General features: G+C 47.9%; 2 long non-coding RNA genes across 3 annotated transcripts, besides 5 other annotated features; one reads left to right on the top strand and one right to left on the bottom strand.

The window, feature by feature from the left end:
• Positions 1 to 10,533: 10,533 nt before the first annotated feature.
• On the bottom strand, positions 10,534 to 14,209 carry LINC00642 (long intergenic non-protein coding RNA 642). Its single transcript, NR_033986.1, has 4 exons — positions 14,061 to 14,209; positions 12,888 to 12,997; positions 12,281 to 12,420; positions 10,534 to 10,843 (listed from the first exon to the last, which is right to left on the bottom strand). It is a non-coding gene; the product is annotated as a long intergenic non-protein coding RNA 642 (long non-coding RNA).
• Positions 14,322 to 17,376, top strand: LINC02317 (long intergenic non-protein coding RNA 2317). Of its 2 annotated transcripts, none has more exons than NR_146492.1 (3): positions 14,322 to 14,342; positions 14,535 to 14,688; positions 17,126 to 17,376. It is a non-coding gene; the product is annotated as a long intergenic non-protein coding RNA 2317 (long non-coding RNA). The 2 variants fall into 2 exon arrangements; NR_146493.1 differs by lacking the exon at positions 17,126 to 17,376 and adding an exon at positions 15,365 to 16,224.
• Positions 14,343 to 14,960: an enhancer, noted in NCBI's record as "H3K27ac-H3K4me1 hESC enhancer chr14:90920823-90921440 (GRCh37/hg19 assembly coordinates)". NCBI's record gives its function as "activates a minimal SCP1, AML or CMV promoter by ChIP-STARR-seq in naive and primed H9 embryonic stem cells {active_cell/tissue: H9 hESC(naive and primed)}" and the evidence as "EXISTENCE:reporter gene assay evidence [ECO:0000049][PMID:30033119]".
• Positions 14,343 to 15,578: a biological region, named in NCBI's record as "H3K27ac-H3K4me1 hESC enhancers GRCh37_chr14:90920205-90920822 and GRCh37_chr14:90920823-90921440".
• Positions 14,740 to 15,034: an enhancer, noted in NCBI's record as "tiled region #3433; HepG2 Activating DNase matched - State 10:DNaseD, and K562 Activating DNase unmatched - State 4:PromP". NCBI's record gives its function as "activates a minimal TATA promoter and a strong SV40 promoter by Sharpr-MPRA in HepG2 and K562 cells {active_cell/tissue: HepG2 | K562}" and the evidence as "EXISTENCE:reporter gene assay evidence [ECO:0000049][PMID:27701403]".
• Positions 14,961 to 15,578: an enhancer, noted in NCBI's record as "H3K27ac-H3K4me1 hESC enhancer chr14:90920205-90920822 (GRCh37/hg19 assembly coordinates)". NCBI's record gives its function as "activates a minimal SCP1, AML or CMV promoter by ChIP-STARR-seq in naive and primed H9 embryonic stem cells {active_cell/tissue: H9 hESC(naive and primed)}" and the evidence as "EXISTENCE:reporter gene assay evidence [ECO:0000049][PMID:30033119]".
• Positions 16,843 to 16,892: an enhancer, noted in NCBI's record as "active region_8882". NCBI's record gives its function as "activates an Ori minimal core promoter by ATAC-STARR-seq in GM12878 lymphoblastoid cells {active_cell/tissue: GM12878}" and the evidence as "EXISTENCE:reporter gene assay evidence [ECO:0000049][PMID:35858748]".
• Positions 17,377 to 18,615: the final 1,239 nt, after the last annotated feature.

Here is an 18,615-nt window from a genome sequence, read left to right as displayed (position 1 = left end):
GAATCAAATACCTAGGAATACAGCTAACAAGGGAAATGAAGGGTCTTTTCAAGGAGAACTACAAACCACTGCTCAAGGAAGTCAGAGAGGACACAAAAATAGGAAACCATTCCATGCTCATGGATAGGAAGAATCAACATCATGAAAATAACCATAGTGCTGAAAGTAATTTATAGATTCAATGCTATTCCCATTAAACTACCATTGACATTCTTCACAAAATTAGAAGAAACTATTTTAAAATTCATATGGAACCAAAAAAGAGCCTGAATAGCCAAGACAATCCTAAGCAAAAAAAAGAACGAAGCTGGAGGCATCACACTACCAGACTTCAAACTATACTGCAAGGCTACAGTAACCAAAACAGCATGGTACTGGTACAAAAACAGACACATAGACCAACGGAACAGAATAGAGAATTCAGAAATAAGACCACACACCTACAACCATCTGATCTTCAACAAACCTGACAAAAACAAGCAATAAAGAAAGGATTCCCTATGTAATAAATAGTGCTGGGAAATCTGGCTAGCCATATGCAGAAAATTGAAACTGGACCCCTTCCTTTCATCTTATACAAAAATTAACTCAAGATGGATTAATTAAAAACTTATATGTAAAACCCAAAACTATAAAAACCTTAGAAGAAAATCTAGACAATACCATTCAGGACATAGGTAAAAAGATTTCATGACAAAAATGCTAAAAGCAATTGCAACAAAAGCAAACATTGACAAATGTGATCTAATTAAACTAAAGAGCTTCTGCACAGCAAAAGAAACTGTCATCAGAGTGAACAGGCAACCTACAGAATGGGAGAAAATTTTTGCAATCTATCCATCTGACAAAGGTCTAATATCCAGAATCTACAAGGCACAAACAAATTTACAAGAAAAAAACAAACAACCCCATTAAAAAGTGGGGAAATGACATGAACAGACATTTTGCAAAAGAAGACATTCATGTGGCCAATAAACATATGGAAAAAAGCTCAACGTCACTGATCATTAGAGAAATGAAATCAAAAGCACAATAAGATATCATCTCACACCAGTCAGAATGGTGACTATTAAAAAGTCAAGAGACAACAGATGCTGGTGAGGTTGCAGAGAAAAAGGAACACTTGTACACTGTTAGTGGGAGTGTAAATTAGTTCAACCATTGTGGAAGACAGTGTGGCAAATTCTCAAAGATCTAGAAGCAGAAATACCATTTGACCCAGCAATCCCATCACTGGGCATATACCCAAAGGAATAGAAGTCATTCTACTACAAAGATAGATGCACGCATATGTTCACTGCAGCACAATTCACAATAGTAAAGATATGGAATCCACCCAAATGCCCATCATGATAGACTGGATAAAGAAAATGTAGTATCATGGAATACTATGCAGCCATAAAAAGGAACGAGATCATGTCCTTTGCAGGGACATGGATGGAGCCGGAAGCCATTATCCTCAGCAAACTAACACAGGAAGAGAAAACCAAATACTCCATGTTCTCACTTATAAGTGGGAGCTGAACAATGAGAACACATGGATGCATTGGGGAGTTAATCCACCATTAACTATCAGTATGGGCTTTAGTCTCTCTGAGACTCGGCACTTCCCCTATTAAATCTCTCTGCTTAAAATGTTTATTTGGGAGATACAAGTCCAGCTGGTCCCACTAATCACATGATTGCTCCAGCGGATGATCACTCGAGCATCCAAGCTCACCTAAGACCCAGGCCTGTTACCTTGTAAATGATCCACCAAGCCACAGGGAAGTGGGAATTGCTTGAAGGAATCGTTAAGCCCTTTGGAGCATTTGTTTATTCAATCTGTTAAAATCAAGCTTAGAATTTGTACCATGTGTAATGCTAAACATGGATCACTTGTTTGGAACTTAACACTGCACATAAAAGTGCTTCTGAGAATTGTTTGTGTTCCTGAGCATGTATTTATTTAATCAAATAATTTTCTGTGGATATTTAAAAATGTTTGGTTACCCAAGGGTTTAACCTGTGTGAAAATGTTTGAATCACATGTAACAACCCCTGAAACCCATAGAAATTATGCTAATAAACATGAGAAGGACAAAGAAATAGTCTGTAATTGGGGGCCTGTGCACTCCAGGGGCAGGAAGATAATATTAGAATTTTTATTCATATCTTTGTGTAAAAATGAGGAAAGAAATGAGGATTTACTCATATTTCATTTACGAATTGATATTGAGGTAATCCTGGGTCAGGTGGCCATAGTGTGAAGGGGTTAATGAGCTTCCTTCATTAGTGCTGTAAGGCAGTTCAAGTTTGTCCAGGAAACTGGGTTTGCAAAGTATCTACTCTTCATTAAATCAGCCCTCACCTACTGGATAGATGACTTAAAAGGACTCCTGCAAAGGACCTACGAAGTGAAGACAGTACTAGTTACTTAAGCACAGGAGAAAAAAATAAAGCAAATGACAGAATATGAAATAAAACCAGTGACAAATCTGGAACAATTTCCTGCCCTCGAATTTGAGATTCTTAAGGGGACTATTTGAAATGTGGATTTATTTCCATCATTGCACTAAATGCATACCAAGCCTTGAGATATTAATTTCTGACAGTGGTGCTTGTATATAATTTGCAGGCATTCCATACATATATTGGAGGAAAACATGCTCCAAAATGTTTACTGATGGAGTGTATGATCAAAAAGTTTGGAGACTACTTTATGATGATCAAGGCAGGCATACAACATCCAAAAAAGAGAGAATGGTTGGAAATGAGAAAACCCAGGAGAGGCAGCTTAGCTGAGGGCGATGGCACAGGCTCAGGAGCCAGGGAGCCTGGGTTTGAATCCCACCTCCTCACTTCCTGGCAGGTTTACTTCATCTCTCTGTGCTTCAGCTTTCCATAAAATGTGGATAATGATTATACTTACTTCATAGGACCATTATGAGGACTAGATAAACACCTAAAAAAGTATTCAGCTCACAGCAAATGCTCCCTAAGAGTTTGTTACATAAGTTGCAAAATCCCATAGGATCTCATCAAGTGGAAATACTGGCTATGAATAAACAACACACCAGAGTATAACCTAGCATAGGAAGCATGCGTCATAAATGTGAGCTACTGGGAGCAAGAGTCAAACACATCACATGCGTGGTGGATGAGTGGCAAATGCTAGGCTGGGTACAGCTACTGGAATTCTAGCCCTTGGTCATTCTTCTCCTGTGGGATGTACAGGACCTCATCAACTCCATCAAGCCCTACACTGGATCCTGGGATAACAGGGATGAATCAAATTCAGATGCTGCTGGAGCCCCGAGCCTGACGGTGGAGGCAATAATAATGCCAGTAGACATGAAGACCCCATAAGACTGTGGCGGGGACAGGGGAGGGTCTGGCCTTGGATAGGCCTTTTCTCTATTTGTCTGCTTCCCTCTGGCTTGGATAGCTCTTTTCCTGAGCCAGTCTCCCTCTCTCTCCCCTGCTGGAGCTCAGGACATCTGCCCCCTTAGCAATCAGGGTCCCCAAGGAGGAGCTCTGACCTCAGCTATAGAGGTTACCAGATGGGGTAGCTACTCCACAAAAGCCCACCTGATGTAAGGCAAAGGGGGTCGGATATGGTTTGGCTGTGTTTTCACCCAAATCTCATTTTGAGTTGTAGCTCCCATAATCCCCATATATCGTGGGAGGGACCCAGTGGGAGGTAATTGAATCATAGGGGTGGTTACCCCTATGCTGTTGTTCTCGTGATAGTGAGTTCTCATGAGATGTGATGGTTTTATAAGGGGCTTTTCCCCCTTTTGCTGGGCACTTCTGCTTGATGCCACCATGTGAAGAAGGACATGTTTGCTTCCCCTTCTGCCATAATTGTAAGTTTCCTGAGGCCTCCCCAGGCATGCGGAACTGTGACTCAACTAAACCTCTTTCCTTTATAAATTACCTAGTCTCGGGTATGTCTTTATTAGCAGTGTGAGAACAGACTAATACAGGATCTGTCCTCAGGAGCAAGGGACACAGGGAACATGGAGTCCTCATACACCTGCCTGGGCTTTCCAATGGGAGGATCTATTATCTATCCAAGTGGTGTGGGCTAGAAGTCAATTTGTTTCACAGGAGCCCAGAGGGCTGGGTGCCTTGTTCCGTCCATCAAAATAATAACTAAGCAATTAGTAAATAACAGAACAAAATCGATCTTGCAAAAGACAAGTCATTATGTGGCCCATGGGCCAGGATCATGAGAGTCAGATGCTGGAATGGGAATGATGGCCTGATGAGGACTGAAATCCTAAGCAGCTGGGAGGGAGCAGGGAGCTTGTGAATGAACAGGGCAGGGGCCACGCTGCTCTTCCTGCCTCTCGCCCTGGGGGTGGCTGCTTGCCCACACCCTGCTCAGGTATGACTACATCCTCAGCCTCACTACTTCCCTCCACCTCTCCTTCCCTCCTTCCTAAACTGCAGGCCTCCAGGTCTCCTCTTCCCATCTCAGTGGCATTGAATGCCAGGCCAAGGATGGGAGAGATTGGCTAAGTCCTTTCTACTCCACTGGTGGTCAGTGGGCCAGCAGCACTGTCATCACCTGGGAGCTTGTGAGAAATGCAGACACGCCAGCCCCACCCCAGACCTACTGCACCAGAAACGACTCTTAGACAAGGCCCAGGGGACTTGTGTGCACATCAAGGAGGTGGAAGCACTCAGAGTGGTTTTCAACCCTGGCTTCATATTAGAATTGCCTGGGAGCAATTGAGTCAGAATCCCTGGGGGTGGTTCTTGGCCATCAGTATTAATTGCAAGGTTCCCAGGGTCCAAAACCACAGACTGGACAAATGCTCTCCTCTCACTGAGAGGCGAGGCACTGATCAGGCTCTAAAGTTAGCCAGGGGCAGAGCAGGCCATGGAATCTAGGCCCCTCTCCTCCTGATATGCCAGTGTGAGGGCTCAGCCCCGCTTCTGGGTCCCATGGTAATGGGTAAGATCTGTCCTGATCTAAAATTGCTCCTGGTCTGGGGAGGGAGATACACAAGTAAAGAGCCAACAACAAGGCCATGTGGGAAGGGCTTCCGTCTGCAGGAAAACTCCAATCCCAGGAGCACAGAGGAGGGAGGGATGGACCTGGCTGGGGAAGCCAAGAGGGGAGGCATAGGGTGGCGGCTTCTGAGCGTCGTCTTCAGGAACTGAGAATTTGGCAAATGCAAGAAGAGAAGAACATTCTAGAAAGAAGGAACAGCGTTGCAAAGGCCTAGATTCACAATTAGGCTCTTTGTGAGGATGGTAGAAGCTCAGAGGCACTGCAGCCTGGCATATTTGGTGCACACAGGGTGGTGAGAGATTAGGAGGAAGACGTGGTTGGAGCCAAATGGCATCAGCCTAGGATGCCAAGGAAGGGAGTCTGCACTTGATCCTGAGGCTACATATGGGTGCTGGTAAGAAGGTGCAGGGACAGGATCACACTTGACTTTCATTAAGATCCCTGGCAGCATGGTGGGAAGTGGATGGAAGGGGAGAAGCTGAGGGAAAGGAGGACGCAGGAGACATGAAACGGTGTGACCTGGAACAGGGTTAAAGGAATGGTGAGGAGGAGGCCGAGACAGGAGGCATCCAGAGGAAAAATCATGGAGGAATGCAGGGGGTGGGGCCCATCGGGCTCCTAGTTCCAGCAGGGATCTCAGTGTGAGTCCAGTTTCTCAACCACTCTCGGTGCCTTAGGCTCCTCATCCTAAAATGGGACTCACAGGAATACCTCCACCTAGGGGAGTGTTGTGAGGATTAAATGCATTAACACAGTGGCTCACATCTGTAACCCTAGTGCTTTGGGAGGCTGAGGAGGGAGGATCACTTGAGGCCAGGAGTTTGAGGCCAGCATGGGCAACATAGGGAGATCCCATCTCTACAAAAAAAAAATTTGTATAATTATCCCGGGGTGGTGGCACACACCTGCAGTCCCAGCTACTTGGGATGCTGAGATGGGAAGATGGCTTGAACCTGGGAGTTCGAGACTGCAGTGAGCTATAATCACCCCAGCCTGGGTGACAGTGAAACCCTGTCTCCAAAAAGAAAAAAAAAAAAGTGGAGCTCTTAGAACATTGCCTGGTAGATCATAAGCACTCAGAAAGTGTTGTCTTGCAGCAGAGATGAGCATTGGAACATTGAGCACTCACATGCCTTGTTCCTTAGTGTAAATGGTGGCTGAGAAGTGCCTGGCTAATTGGGGACTCTATTTCCCAGCCACCCTGGCCTTGCAATGGGGCTACATGACAGTCCTGACCATAGAATGGGAGCTGATGGGATGTGCATCATGACCCGACCTTGCCCAGAAAATCTCCCTTCGAATGCTCCACACTCTTTCTTCCTCTTCCTACCACCGGATTGTCAAAGCCCAGAGTGACTCTAGGGGGTCAACACGATGAAAGAACACTACTTCCTCCTCTCCATAATGTCACCCTGAATTCATTCACCTGTCATTGATTTGGCACAAAAGAATCAGCTGCTCCACAGAAATGAATTATCCAATAAAGTAAAACATTTCTGAAGAACTAGGTTGGAGTCCCATCTCTGATTTTAATGGAGTGACCTTGAACAAGCCACTCAACCTTTCTGAGCCTTATCAGGAAAATGGGCATAAACTGCCTCTCAGGTCTGTCAAGAAAATTAGACTAAAGTGTATGTCTGTAATCTCAGCACTTTGGGATCCTACCAAGGTGGGAAGATCACTCGAGCTCAGGAGTTCAAGACCAGCCTGAGCAATATGGCAAGATCTTGTATCTAAAAATATATAAAACAGGCTGGGCACAGTGGCCCATGCCTGTAATCTCAGCACTTTGGGAGGCCAAGGCCGGCAAATCACTTGAGGTCAGGAGTTCGAGACCAGACTGGCCAACATGGTGAAACTCTGTCTCTGCTAAAAATACAAAAAAAAAAAAAAAAAAAAAAGTAAAAGAAAAAAATTAGCCTGGCATGGTGGTGGGCCCCTGTAGTTCCAGCTACTCAGGAGGCTGAGGCAGGAGAATCACTTGAACCTGGGAGATGAAGGTTGCAGTGAGCCGAGATTGTGCCACTGCACTCCAGGCTGAGAAACAGAGAGAGAGTCTGTCTCTAAATAAATAAATAAATATAAAATAAAATAAAATAAAATAAAATAAAAAGCATATGTGTATTCCTTTCTTGCTCTAAGAAGATGCAGGGGAAAAAAGAAAAGAAAGTGTATGTATAAAACGTCCTTTGTAAACTTAAGTAAGGATAATTGACTTTCCTTTAAGATATAGTGTTCTTTAAAATGTGCCTCATTCAAACAATAGATCCAAGAGATCATTTTAAATGCAGATGGCCCAGAATTGCCCTAAATATGATTGGATGATTCTCTCTGGGCTTATGGAGATTTGGGGGTGCTGCTTGCCCCTTCATGAAATGTCCTCATGTTGCTGTATGATTGGTCTCTGGTGTGTTTCTGACTTGTTTATCTTAAGACTATGATAAAAGACAGTCTCTCTCTCTCTCTCTCTCTCTCTCTCTCTCTCTCTCTGTGTGTGTGTGTGTGTGTGTGTGTGTGTGTCTGTGTGTGTATCTGTCTGTCTGTCTCTCTCCATCTCTCCTTTGGGCCTGTGTGACAGATCAACATTCAGCCGTGGTTGAGAAGATCCAGCCTCAGGAAACTACCAGGGTTGCCTGGAAGGTCCTTGCCCTGCTTTGCCCCTGAGTTCCTGGTACACTAGTCTCCTTCTCCAAAACTCAGCTCAAGGTGGCTCCCTGGAGCCCATTCATTCCCACCTTCCCAGACGCCTTACCTTTTGCCTTCCATCAGAGCACTTAGCACATCACTGTCCACATTTTTTGGTCATTTCCGTTGCATTTCAGCAGCTTGCAGGTAGGAGGCAGGTCACCTTCATCTTCAACCTGGACCTAGCACGATGCTTGGCATCTAGTGGACACTCGGGAAAATTTTGCTAACTGAGTGACTCCATATCCCATTTGGGATAGTGATGGGGATTATATCACCTCTCACTGAAAAAAATCCGTGTCTCAGCTGGGTGCGGTGGCTCACGCCTGTAATCCCAGCACTTTGGGAGGCCAAGGCGGGTGGATCACGAGCTCTGGAGTTCGAGACTATCCTGGCCAATATGGTGAAACCCCGTCTCTACTAAAAATACAAAAAAATGATCCGGGCATGGTGGTACATGCCTGTAGTCCCAGCTACTCGGGAGGATGAGGCACGAGAATCGCTTGAACCTGGGAGGCAGAGGTTGCAGTGAGCCCAGATCGCACCACTGCCCTCCAGCCTGGGTGACAGAGCAAGACTCTGTCTCAAAAAAAAAAAAGCATGTCTCTTCATTTTCAAGTCATACTTAAAGAGTCTGAACTATTCCCTTCATTTCAATTATATTAGCTAATTACTTCAGTGCTTATGCTTTTTCTTGGACATTTTCCACCAAAGATAGAGTTGGTTTCCATAAATAATTTCAGTGCACACTGCATATCCCATTTAGAAGATAGCGAGAGCCTCCTAATACTTCTGAGCAGGCTGGAACTGCTAAGAAAGAGAAGGTACCCACTCTGAGGGACTTCTTAACAAGACAGGTGGTGGGGCGCAGTGGCTCATGCCTGTAATCTCAGCACTTTGGGAGGCCGAGGTGGGTGGATCACTTGAGGCCTGGAGTTCAAGACCAGCCTGGCCAACACGGCAAAACCCCATCTCTACTAAAAATAGGAAAATTAGCCAGGTGTGGTGGCACACGCCTGTAATCCCAGCTACTCGGGAGGCTGAGGCACGAGAATCGCTTGAATCCAGGAGGCGGAGGTTTCAGTGAGCCGAGATCACACCACTGTACTCTGGGTGACAGAGGAGACTCTGTCTCAAAAAAAAAAAAAAAAAAAAAAAGACAGGTGCCAGGGAGGAGGGACACCACCTGTGCCAGGTTGTCATTTCCAAGGATGGCTGCAGCAGTTCCATCCATGAGCTTTGCTGCAATGTAACCTTGACACTCCTCGCATTGGGAGACGGCACCTATGCCTGCTCTCTCTTGAATCTGGGTGGACTTGTGATTTCTTTGACTAATAGGAATGGCGTGCTACACTGCAGTGCTAACTGAAAAACCGCCTGGCACTGCAAAGCCGAGATTCCTCACTCCCAGGGGTCATCTGCTCTCTTACTCACCCAAAAGCCCACAAATCCTCCTTATTGCCTTAAATCCTCACAGGCTTCCACAGTCTGGTTTATTTGACCTCTTTGGTGTTATTTCCAATGATATCTTCCAGCCCCTCTTATAATCCACACACACTCACATACACACACTCAAGAGAACCTTCCCACCAAGTCAGGTTGATTTCCAGTTCTCATTGTACATCAACTCATGGAGCTCCCTTCACCCTCTAAACCTTTACTCAGGCTGTACCCATGGCCTGAATGGCCATCTTCTTGGTTTTTTTTTTTTTTTTAGCTATTCCCAAATATTATGGATTGTATTAGTTAAGGTTAGGCAGGGCTAGTATTCAGCTGGTTCTCAGCTGTTTTGTATTGCTATGACTAAGCTGGTTGTTAAAATATTTAAATACTTTCATACTGGTTGGTAAATATCTGTGGTTCTAAGCCTTCTGCTACCTTAAACCCTTCCTCATCAGTGCCCGTGCCATTCTGGCTGTTAAATATTTTCAATACCATCCCTGAGAGTAAGCTTGGCTGCATTTAACAGCAAAAAGGGGGACTTCAACAAGATAGCTTACTTCTCTCATACCCACATGAAGTAAGGAGATAGGGACATTATAGTGACTCCACATTGTCATCAGAAACCCAGGCTTCCATCATGCTCCATCATCCCTGGTGCATATTTTTATATGCAAGGTCTTATTAAGAAACCCTTAACTCACTCCCGAGCATGGATGCTGGGGCTCAAGCCATCACATCAGGATTCCAGACCAGCAGTAGAAAGAAATGGGACAAAGGGATTCTCTTTCCCACTCAACCAGTTCCTTTTAAGCAGCCTTTCCAATAGTTCCACATAACACTTGTGCATCCATTTCCTCGGCCAGAAGTTAATCACATGGCCATATCTAGCAGCAAGGGAGGCTAGGAAATGTAGTCTCAGCTTTGTTATTAAAGGAAATGGGGATAGTCAGTAATGGGGGGCATCTAGCAGTTTCTGAGTCTTATCCTTCAAGGTCTAGTGCAAGACTTCCCTGTGACACCAGTCCTGGAGGATATCTTACATCATACATCACTCAGAATCACAGTTTACTATATATTCATTGTTAAACACTCATAGTTTTATACAATAATAATAATACAAGAAGTAGCTGCCATTTATTGAGGCTTACAATGTGCCAGACCCTATTAAGTAGTTTATCTGCCGTATCTTATTTAATCCTCACAAAGTCACAATGAAGTAGCTATTAACTGTCATTATCCCCACTTTGCAGGTAAGGAAACAGGCCCAAGTGGTGGTTAAATGCTTGTCTAAAGCTATAAAAGGTGGAGCTGGGATTTGATTCATGAGCTGTTAAGACAAAAACCATGTCAGCTACAGCACCCAGCACAGCGTTCAGCAAAGAGAAGACATTAAAAACAAATAAAACCTTGTTAGTTTTATTGTTGGATCAAATAATTAACTCAGCATCCAGATAAAAGCAGGAAATAGACAAGGGACTTAACAGAATGACCTGGGCCTCCTCCAGGTACAGGAAACCACAAGTCTGAGCTTGCAGCTACAGCTCCAAAAGTTGGGAGATTTGCAGAGGCACAATGAAATAGGGTTGATGTCCAGGTCTTCTCACTGCTGGGATCCCAGTCCAGGACCTGCCTCTGCCCCACTGTGGGGTCTTCTAGCCCATGTTCTGCAGGGATCGTTTATGCTCCAGGAATGACCCTGGGTGCTGCCTCCTGCAAGCAAGAAGAATTTCCATTCAATGCCTGGTCTACTGCTTGTTTGGATTCCTTTAACTTTTTATTGTTCCTTATTGAGCAACTAAGACATTAATGAAGCCATCTTCTGCAGTTCCAACATATCCAGGCATGTTGCTCAGCATTTGCTGACAGCAACCAGTAAATTATTATTATTATCATCGTTATTGCTATTACTATTATTATTATCTGAACAGAAATAATTCATGCAAGTTACAGCTGCCTCTGAGAGTCATTTTTGGCTTTTTTAATGACAGCCCTACAGATTTTAGTGTGAGTCTTGGGTACCTCTTTCCTGAGCAGAGCCTCCTGCAAAAGCAGGTTTGCCCTTCACCTTTTGCTTGAAAAGAATGTTTTATTGTGAAAAAATTTCCAGCGTACACCAAAGGATTGCTTTGCACCACATTAAATCATTTTGAAAGTCAAAAATGGTGAAATAATCGCGAGTTTGTAAGACTCAAATTAATAGTGTAGTATCATGATCCCCATGCACCCATCATCACCCAGCTACCACAGTGATCAATCAGCTCAGGGCAAACCTTGTTTCATCCAAACTTTTACTTCCTTCTTCTCTCTGCAATGAATTATTTTAAAGCACATCCCAGACATCTTTATTATTATTATTATTATTTGAGACAGTCTTGCTCTGTCGCCCAGGCTGGAGTGCAGTGGCGCGATCTCCACTCACTGCAACTTCCTCCATCTGGATTCAAGCAGTTCTCATGCCTCAGCCTCCCGAGTAGCTGGGAACAGGCTTCATCCGGGTTCAAGCAATTCTCATGCCTCGGCCTCCCGAGTAGCTGGGACTACAGGAGTGTGCTACCATGCCCGGCTAATTTTTGTATTTTTGGTAGAGATGAGGTTTTGCCGTGTTGACCAAGCTGGTCTTTAATTCTTGGCCTCAGGTGATCTGCCTGCCTCGGCCTCCCAAAGTGCTGGGATTACAAGCATGAGCCACTGTGCCTGGCCTCATTAATTCATCGATAAATGTTTCTGTATGAATCCCTCAACAATTAGGACTCTTTTAAAGCATAATCCCAAACACGATTTTCACATTGCTCAAAAATTAAAAACAATTCCTTGATGTTAAGTATCCATTCAGTGTTCAAATTTCCCCAATTGTCTCATGAATACGTCTCATTTTTATTGTCACTGTAGTGTAGTTTGTTCGCAAGAATCAGAATCCAAAGTCCATATGTTGTAATTGGCTGATATTTCTCTTAAGCTTCTGTTAATCTATAAATTCTCCTTATGTTTTGTTTTTTTTTTCTTTTATTCCTTTTCCTTCCACTTTGTTGATGAAACCTGTAACTTTTTTCCTGAGAGGAAATCTGGCCGCCTCCCTGTGGTGAGGGTTAAACACCTTGACATATTAACATGCCCCCCAGTTCTCTAATTCCTATAGCTGGGAGTTACCTCTAGAGGCTTGATCCGATTCAGATTTGATTTTTCAGCAGGTGTTGTGGTCTTCCGTCAGAAGGAACATCATATCCGGCCATGTATCTTTTTATGATGTTAGTTATCATTGGTGGATCACTGCCTGGATTCATTGTCCTCTAAATGGTGATAAACCGGCCACGGTGATGGACAAGTGGCATATTCAGTTAACGGACTCACTGTGCCCTCCCTCCTTCCCCATCCCCGGCAGTATTGTGGGCGAGGCTTGACCTACTCTGTGATGGGGTTGGAGGCAACACTTCCTGCCCACTTCTCCCCTCTTCCTCCCCACTCCACATCCGTGTGGGAAAGCTTATCATTAAGGGAAGGCTGGCAAATTAGAAAGAGCCTTGAGTCTGGGCCTAGCCCTGCAGATGCCAGCCTCAGAGGTTGCTAGGATACACCGCTCCCAGAGCCTCCTCAGAGCTGCATCCTTCTGGAGCAGCTCAGGGACACTGATGGGCTGTCTGTGCAGTGGGGAGGTGGGAGGAGGAGTGGCACCCCACAGACAGGCCTGCAAAGAAGGGGTTGGTCCGCACTCCTCCCGGAGCTCCATGGAGCAGGGAAAATGTCACCCCAGAAGCACCTGTATACAGGGATCAATTCGGACCGCCCACAGTGAAGGCCACTCTGAATTGTAAAAGTTCCCCAGTCTTATTCTTCACTGTACTTGCATTTCTTCTGCAACATGTCCTTCTATATATAATTCAGAAAACATAACCTGAATGGACGAATGCCAGCCCTCTCCCCAGCTCCTGTCTGCCTGGTAAACTTCTGGTTCACCATAAGGCTCAGCAATGAGCTGTATCCTCATCCTCAACCCAGCCTTCAGGACTCCCTCCCTGTGCTCCAGATGCCCACGCTGACCTCTGCTCACACTCACAGCAGCATTGCAAGTGCCTGTTTCCCCACTGGGTCTCGTTCTCCTCTGCACTCCTAGCACTTAGCACAACGCCTTGCATAGGTCATCTTGAATGCATATGTGAAAGTGTCCTGCTTGCATGCCTCTGGAGACAGGGAGCTCACTATCACAAGACCGCTCATTCTGACAACTTCAAAGTTCTTCCTTAAACACAGCTGAAATCTACCTGTCAGAAACTTCTACCTGGGAACCTTAGGGAGGCTGCCAGTGCCACACTGAACCAGCCAGCTGCCTCTTCCACAAGACCACTCTTCAGAGTTGACTCTCTCTCCATTGTCCTCTGCAGCACCCACCAAAAGGTAGTGGGATATGGGTCAGACATTCACATTCTAAGTCACCAAGCTTGGCTCCCAGGAAGCCTCCCTAAGGTTAGAGGTTCTGGTCCTACTACTCCCTCAGATACCTGCACCCTCACCCTGGTCCCACTGGGACATCACCCCAACGGCCCAGAACTGTAGGGCACAAGTCTCGACGCCAGAGAACCCAGGTGGAGGGTAGAGGGTGGGCCTTGCAGCCTCCCTGGGTGTGAGAGTATCTGTCGCCACCCTTTCCTGATGCAGGTTAGGGGATGCCAAGTCCTAAAGAGGAGGCAGTTTTCTCAAAAATCACCCAGGGAATCTGTGCTGATCTCAAACTAGAGCTGAGAGAGGGAGAGACGCAGGCAAGGAAGAGGAGGGAGCAATGCGCTAGGATCAAATTCCACAGTTGACCTGACATAAGCCAGCTCACTGTGATTTACGCGCCACCGTCCTTGGGGTGGCAGAAGAGCTGAAATCCTTTCTGACATCTCAGGACCAAACTTGTCAAATCTCAGCAACAGCTTTTCCCCATCAGCACCCCAGGCTCTCTGAAGACTGTTCCTCGGAATAGCCTGGAGCTGCCGAGCCAGCCGCGACGGCTCCCGCCAGACTACACGCCTGGCTAAGAGCTCAAACGAGTCACAATGGGGAGGCTAGTGACCCCCATCCAGGGACGGCTCCCGCCAGACTACACGCCGGGCTAAGAGCTCAAACGAGTCACAATAGGGAGGCTAGTGACCCCCATCCATTCCCATGGCATCGTTTGAAGGGCTCTGGAGCCAGCCGCCTGGGTTCGAATCCTGACTGTCCCCCTCACCAGGTCCGTGGCCTTGGCCATCACTCAACCTGGCCCAGCCTCAGAGTCAGTGCTTGTCTCTGAACAATTAGGGCTGCGTGGGGGGCTAATATTTAGGACACGAATAAAATAATGTATAAGGCTTAGCCCAGTGTGTGCTCTTTAGAAAACATCAGTTAACATTAACCATCATTCCATATGTTCACTTCCTGCCAGGCTCTGGGGAGGAAAGGGAGCCCATGGCAGACCAGACCCCTGGCCGGCCAGGGTCCCCGGGGTCTGCGAGGAGGACGTTCATGGGCGAGTGTGTGGTGGTGGGTGAACTGCGGCAGAACCCGAGATTAACAGCTGGAACCCTCTCCTCTTGCAGGTGAGGAAGATGACACCTGGCAACACTATGCCTCACCCCTAGTTAGTGGCTCAGCCCAGACCTCGGGCTCCCGCCTAGCCCAGGACTCTGCCCGACTGTGGCCTTCTGGGCAAAGCTGGCACCAGGGTCAGAAGCCTGGGGAGCAGAGAGGCCCATTGTTAAGGCTGGGAGGCGGAGTCAGGAAGCCCAGGATGTAAACCAATGGGAGACCACGGTGATGATGTAATGCTCGGCCTTCACCTTCATTGGCTGCCGGTCCTGCCACTCCAGACCCTGCTCTGGGGCTCTGCCTTTCGCCGCAGGTTCTCCCGCAGAGGGGGTCATTGGTCTGGGAAGGAGATTGAAGAGTGGGGGTTGGAGGCTGAGGACTGAGCCGGGAGCTGTCGTCCTTCCCTGAGCCTACCAGGGAACTGACTGCTGCCTTTACTAAACACAAAGCTCCTGGGCGAGCCCGGGGAGCGGGTTCTAAACACCCCACCTCCTGGGGCAGCGCCGCGCCTGGCGTCTGCGGGGATGCAAATCTCAGGAGTGTTAGGAGGAGACAGAGGCACCAGCCCCGCTAGCCTGGGAGGCAGCCTGGTACCCAGGAGGGAGGAGGGTGGGGGCCTGGGTCAGCAGAAATAAAGCATGCAGCTCTGTACTTACCACCTCCTCTAAACATCTGTGATGATTATAGGTCTGGGTGAAAAGCGTGGGACCCTCAGCCCAGAGCCGCACAAGACTTGGATTTGCTTTGGAAACCACTGTGCTTTTCAACAAGATCGTTCAAATGGCCTGGGTGGAGACGGGGAGCTGGAGAGTTGGGGATGGAAGCCGATTTTAAGCCTGGAGGAATCCAAACTGCACACAGTAGTCCAAGGCCCTGCCCCGCCTCCGTCCACCACCATCCTCCCCCCGCACCCCCGCCATGAGGTCCATGACTGTATCCTCATTTCACAGATGAGGAGACAGGCACAGAGCAGCAGCCATGGCCATGTGGCCGGTCACGCAGTGGAGGGAGGCCCGGGGGCAGGAGAGGGGCGCCTAAGGCCACACAGCAGGGCTGCGCCGGCGCGCATGGCTGAGAAGCAGGTTCCAGGAGTTTCTGGGAGTTCTTGCTCAACATCAAGAAACTTCCACCAGGATCCACGGGGGGAAGTGGAAGCAGCCTTGTGATAGCAGTTTCAAAGGCCTGGGCTCTGGCAAATAGGAAAAAACAGGCTGAGAAAACATATCAGGCAGGCCTGCTTGTGAGGGAACCTGGCAGACATCCAACCAGCAGTCTGGTGGCCAATTCGGTACATCAGACATGCGCTTAATCCATCATTCGGCAGCGGGCAGGTCACTGGCCACACAGGCTTCAGACCTCCTGGCTTGAGGGAACTTGGGGTTGCCATCAGGCCCGTATGAATCAGAAATTCTGGGCTTCTCATCCCCCACCAGGCACTCCCACACTGTCCCTCCTCTGCATGTTTGCCTCTCCATTCTCTCTACCTTCACTGTCTCGGTTGCCTATGGTCACAGTGATACTCAATAAACCACCAAATCCAGTGGCTTAAGAGCATGTGCTTCCTTCAGCAGGGCAGTTCTGACCTTGGCTGGTCTCACTCATGTGTCTGCATCTGTGGTGAGCTGGCAGATTGGGGTGTAGATTGGGCTCTCCCACTTGTCCAGGTCCTCAGCTGGGACACCTGGGCTGGCTTGGCTCTGCTCTGTGTGGCCTCTCATGCTCCAAGAAGCTAGCCCAGGCTTAAGTACACTGAGGTGGCAGTTGCAGCCTGCAAGGCCTCTCGTGGCTTAGGCTCAGGACTGGCACATCATCACTTCTGCTGCACTTCTCCCTGCTAAAGCAAGTATTGAGGCCACCCAAGATCCAGAAGGTGGAGAGGAGCAGCAGAGCCTCACTGCAAAGGGCACAAATGTGCAGAGGCCCTTCTCTGGATCCACAAATGCAGCCAGTGTACAGCAAACACCATCTCCGCCCCCTTCTCTCCACCTGTTGGCATACTTACTGTTCTTCAAGGCCCACCTGAAGTCTAGCTCTTTGTGAAGTTTTACCTAAACATTCCACCCTACACCCACCATAAGCTAAATGAATAGCAGGATACTATCTGGGGCGCTGGGTCCCAAAAGAAGGTGCCTAAAAGAGAAACAGGATGTGACTGGTCCTGTGGGCTCCGGTTGGGGAACTCTGCAGCTGGGACAGGAACCCATAGACACCAGGGCCCTCCCCTGCCCAGGCCTTCGGGGAGCCCCTTCTGAGGATGAGAACCAAGGTCTGAAATCCCATGCTGCAGGCAAAGGCAGGGACTTCCACCCATCCTCCTGCCATCTACCAAGTATCCACTGAGGGCCTGCGGGTTGTTCTTGGCTCTGTGCTAGGCGCTTTCACGCATCATCTCATCAAACCCTCCCAACAACTTACAAGGTGGTTATTGCTTTCCTCCCCATTTTACAGATGAGGAAACCAGGGAAATCAAGGGTGTTTGAGTGACTGACCGAAAGTCACACAGCTAGGAAGTAAAGGAGCCAGGATACAGGCCCAGAGCTCTGGTTTTATCTGAAACCAAAACCAGAAGTTCCTCTTCCAGCTGCCCACCACCTCTCTGAGTATCAGCCCTGCTAATGACAATGATAACATCAGCTCTGCAGCATCGTTCTAAGCACTGTACGTTAATGCGATCAGTTAATAAAAGCATCTTGCCTTAATTAATTTACTCCTCTCAATAACCCTTTGAGGTAGGTACAATCTTTACTGCCATTTGACAGATGAGGCACAGGGAGGTTAAGGGATTTGCCTAAGGTCACACCACTGGGAAGTGACAGAGGCAGGCTTTGAATCTTCACACACTTGCTACCACACACTCACCATTTTTGTAGTCAGGATTTCATAGGCTCAGGGTCCGAGGGGACTGGGGCATGCCAGGGGGGTGGGAAGGTAGGATGCAGAGCCGAAATAGGAGACACTGGAGCTGGGACAGGAGCCCAGAGAGAAGATGAGCAGCAGAGCATGGTCTCCGGCAGCCTGCGTCCCTCCTTTCCAAGTCACGATGCCAACCAGAAGCCCTAATCGAGGGTGGTGCTGGAGAGGCTCTGGGAGGAGACCGGGATGGTGGCGCATATGGCCGTGCCACCCTAGACCGCCCTTCAGGGAGGGTCCTGATGGCCTGGCTTGGCTTTTCTGCAGAAGCATCAGCTGGGGACAAGTAAGGGGTGGGGAGGGAAGCGAGAGGAGACGGAACTGCAGACTGGGCAGACTGGGTTCCCCATTAGCCAGGCCATATGTCCAAATGTGGACACATAAGTGCGAGCAGGCACCAAGCCTGGCGAGCCCAGCTGCAGAACAGCATGGGGAGAGCTCGCCCTGGGAAGCATGGCAGTGGGCTACAGAAAATAGGGAGGCTGCTGTGTACCCTGCCTGAGGCTGACATCTACTGTCAACCACCCTCTCTTCTAGCCACCCTGGGAGGCAGGGGCAATGGAGGCTCAGAGAAATTCATTGATTTGCCTGAGTTCACAGAGGGACTAATTGGGGAGGGCAGGATTTGAATCCAGGACTGCCTAATTCCAAAGCAGGTCCTTAGCCAATGCCCCAGACCCCTGGCCAGTTTGTAGGGTGAGAGGGAGTGCCCCTGTGGGCCTCAGTGATAGTGGCTGGGTTGGCTGACACCCCACCCAGCCTGCCAGAGGGGCACAAAATAACCTAGGCCCTGAGTGAGTGGGCAAGGCCTGGGCTCACATTCCAAGATAGGCTCTCAGAGGGCATGAGACAATATCACAGGGCTTAAGCATAAGGATCGTGGCCTCTAGTTAATGGAACACTTTTCTGTGCCAGGCACCAGCTAATGCAGTACATCTGTGAGCAGTCGCTTGCTCCTCACAGCAGGACCATGGGATTGATGCCGTCATTACCATCCTCCCCATGTTATAGATGAGGATATTGAAGAG

Source organism: Homo sapiens, chromosome 14 (genome assembly GCF_000001405.40).
Source record: "Homo sapiens chromosome 14, GRCh38.p14 Primary Assembly".
Classification (NCBI taxonomy): domain Eukaryota; kingdom Metazoa; phylum Chordata; class Mammalia; order Primates; family Hominidae; genus Homo; species Homo sapiens.
This window is presented reverse-complemented; position numbering and strand designations above follow the sequence as displayed.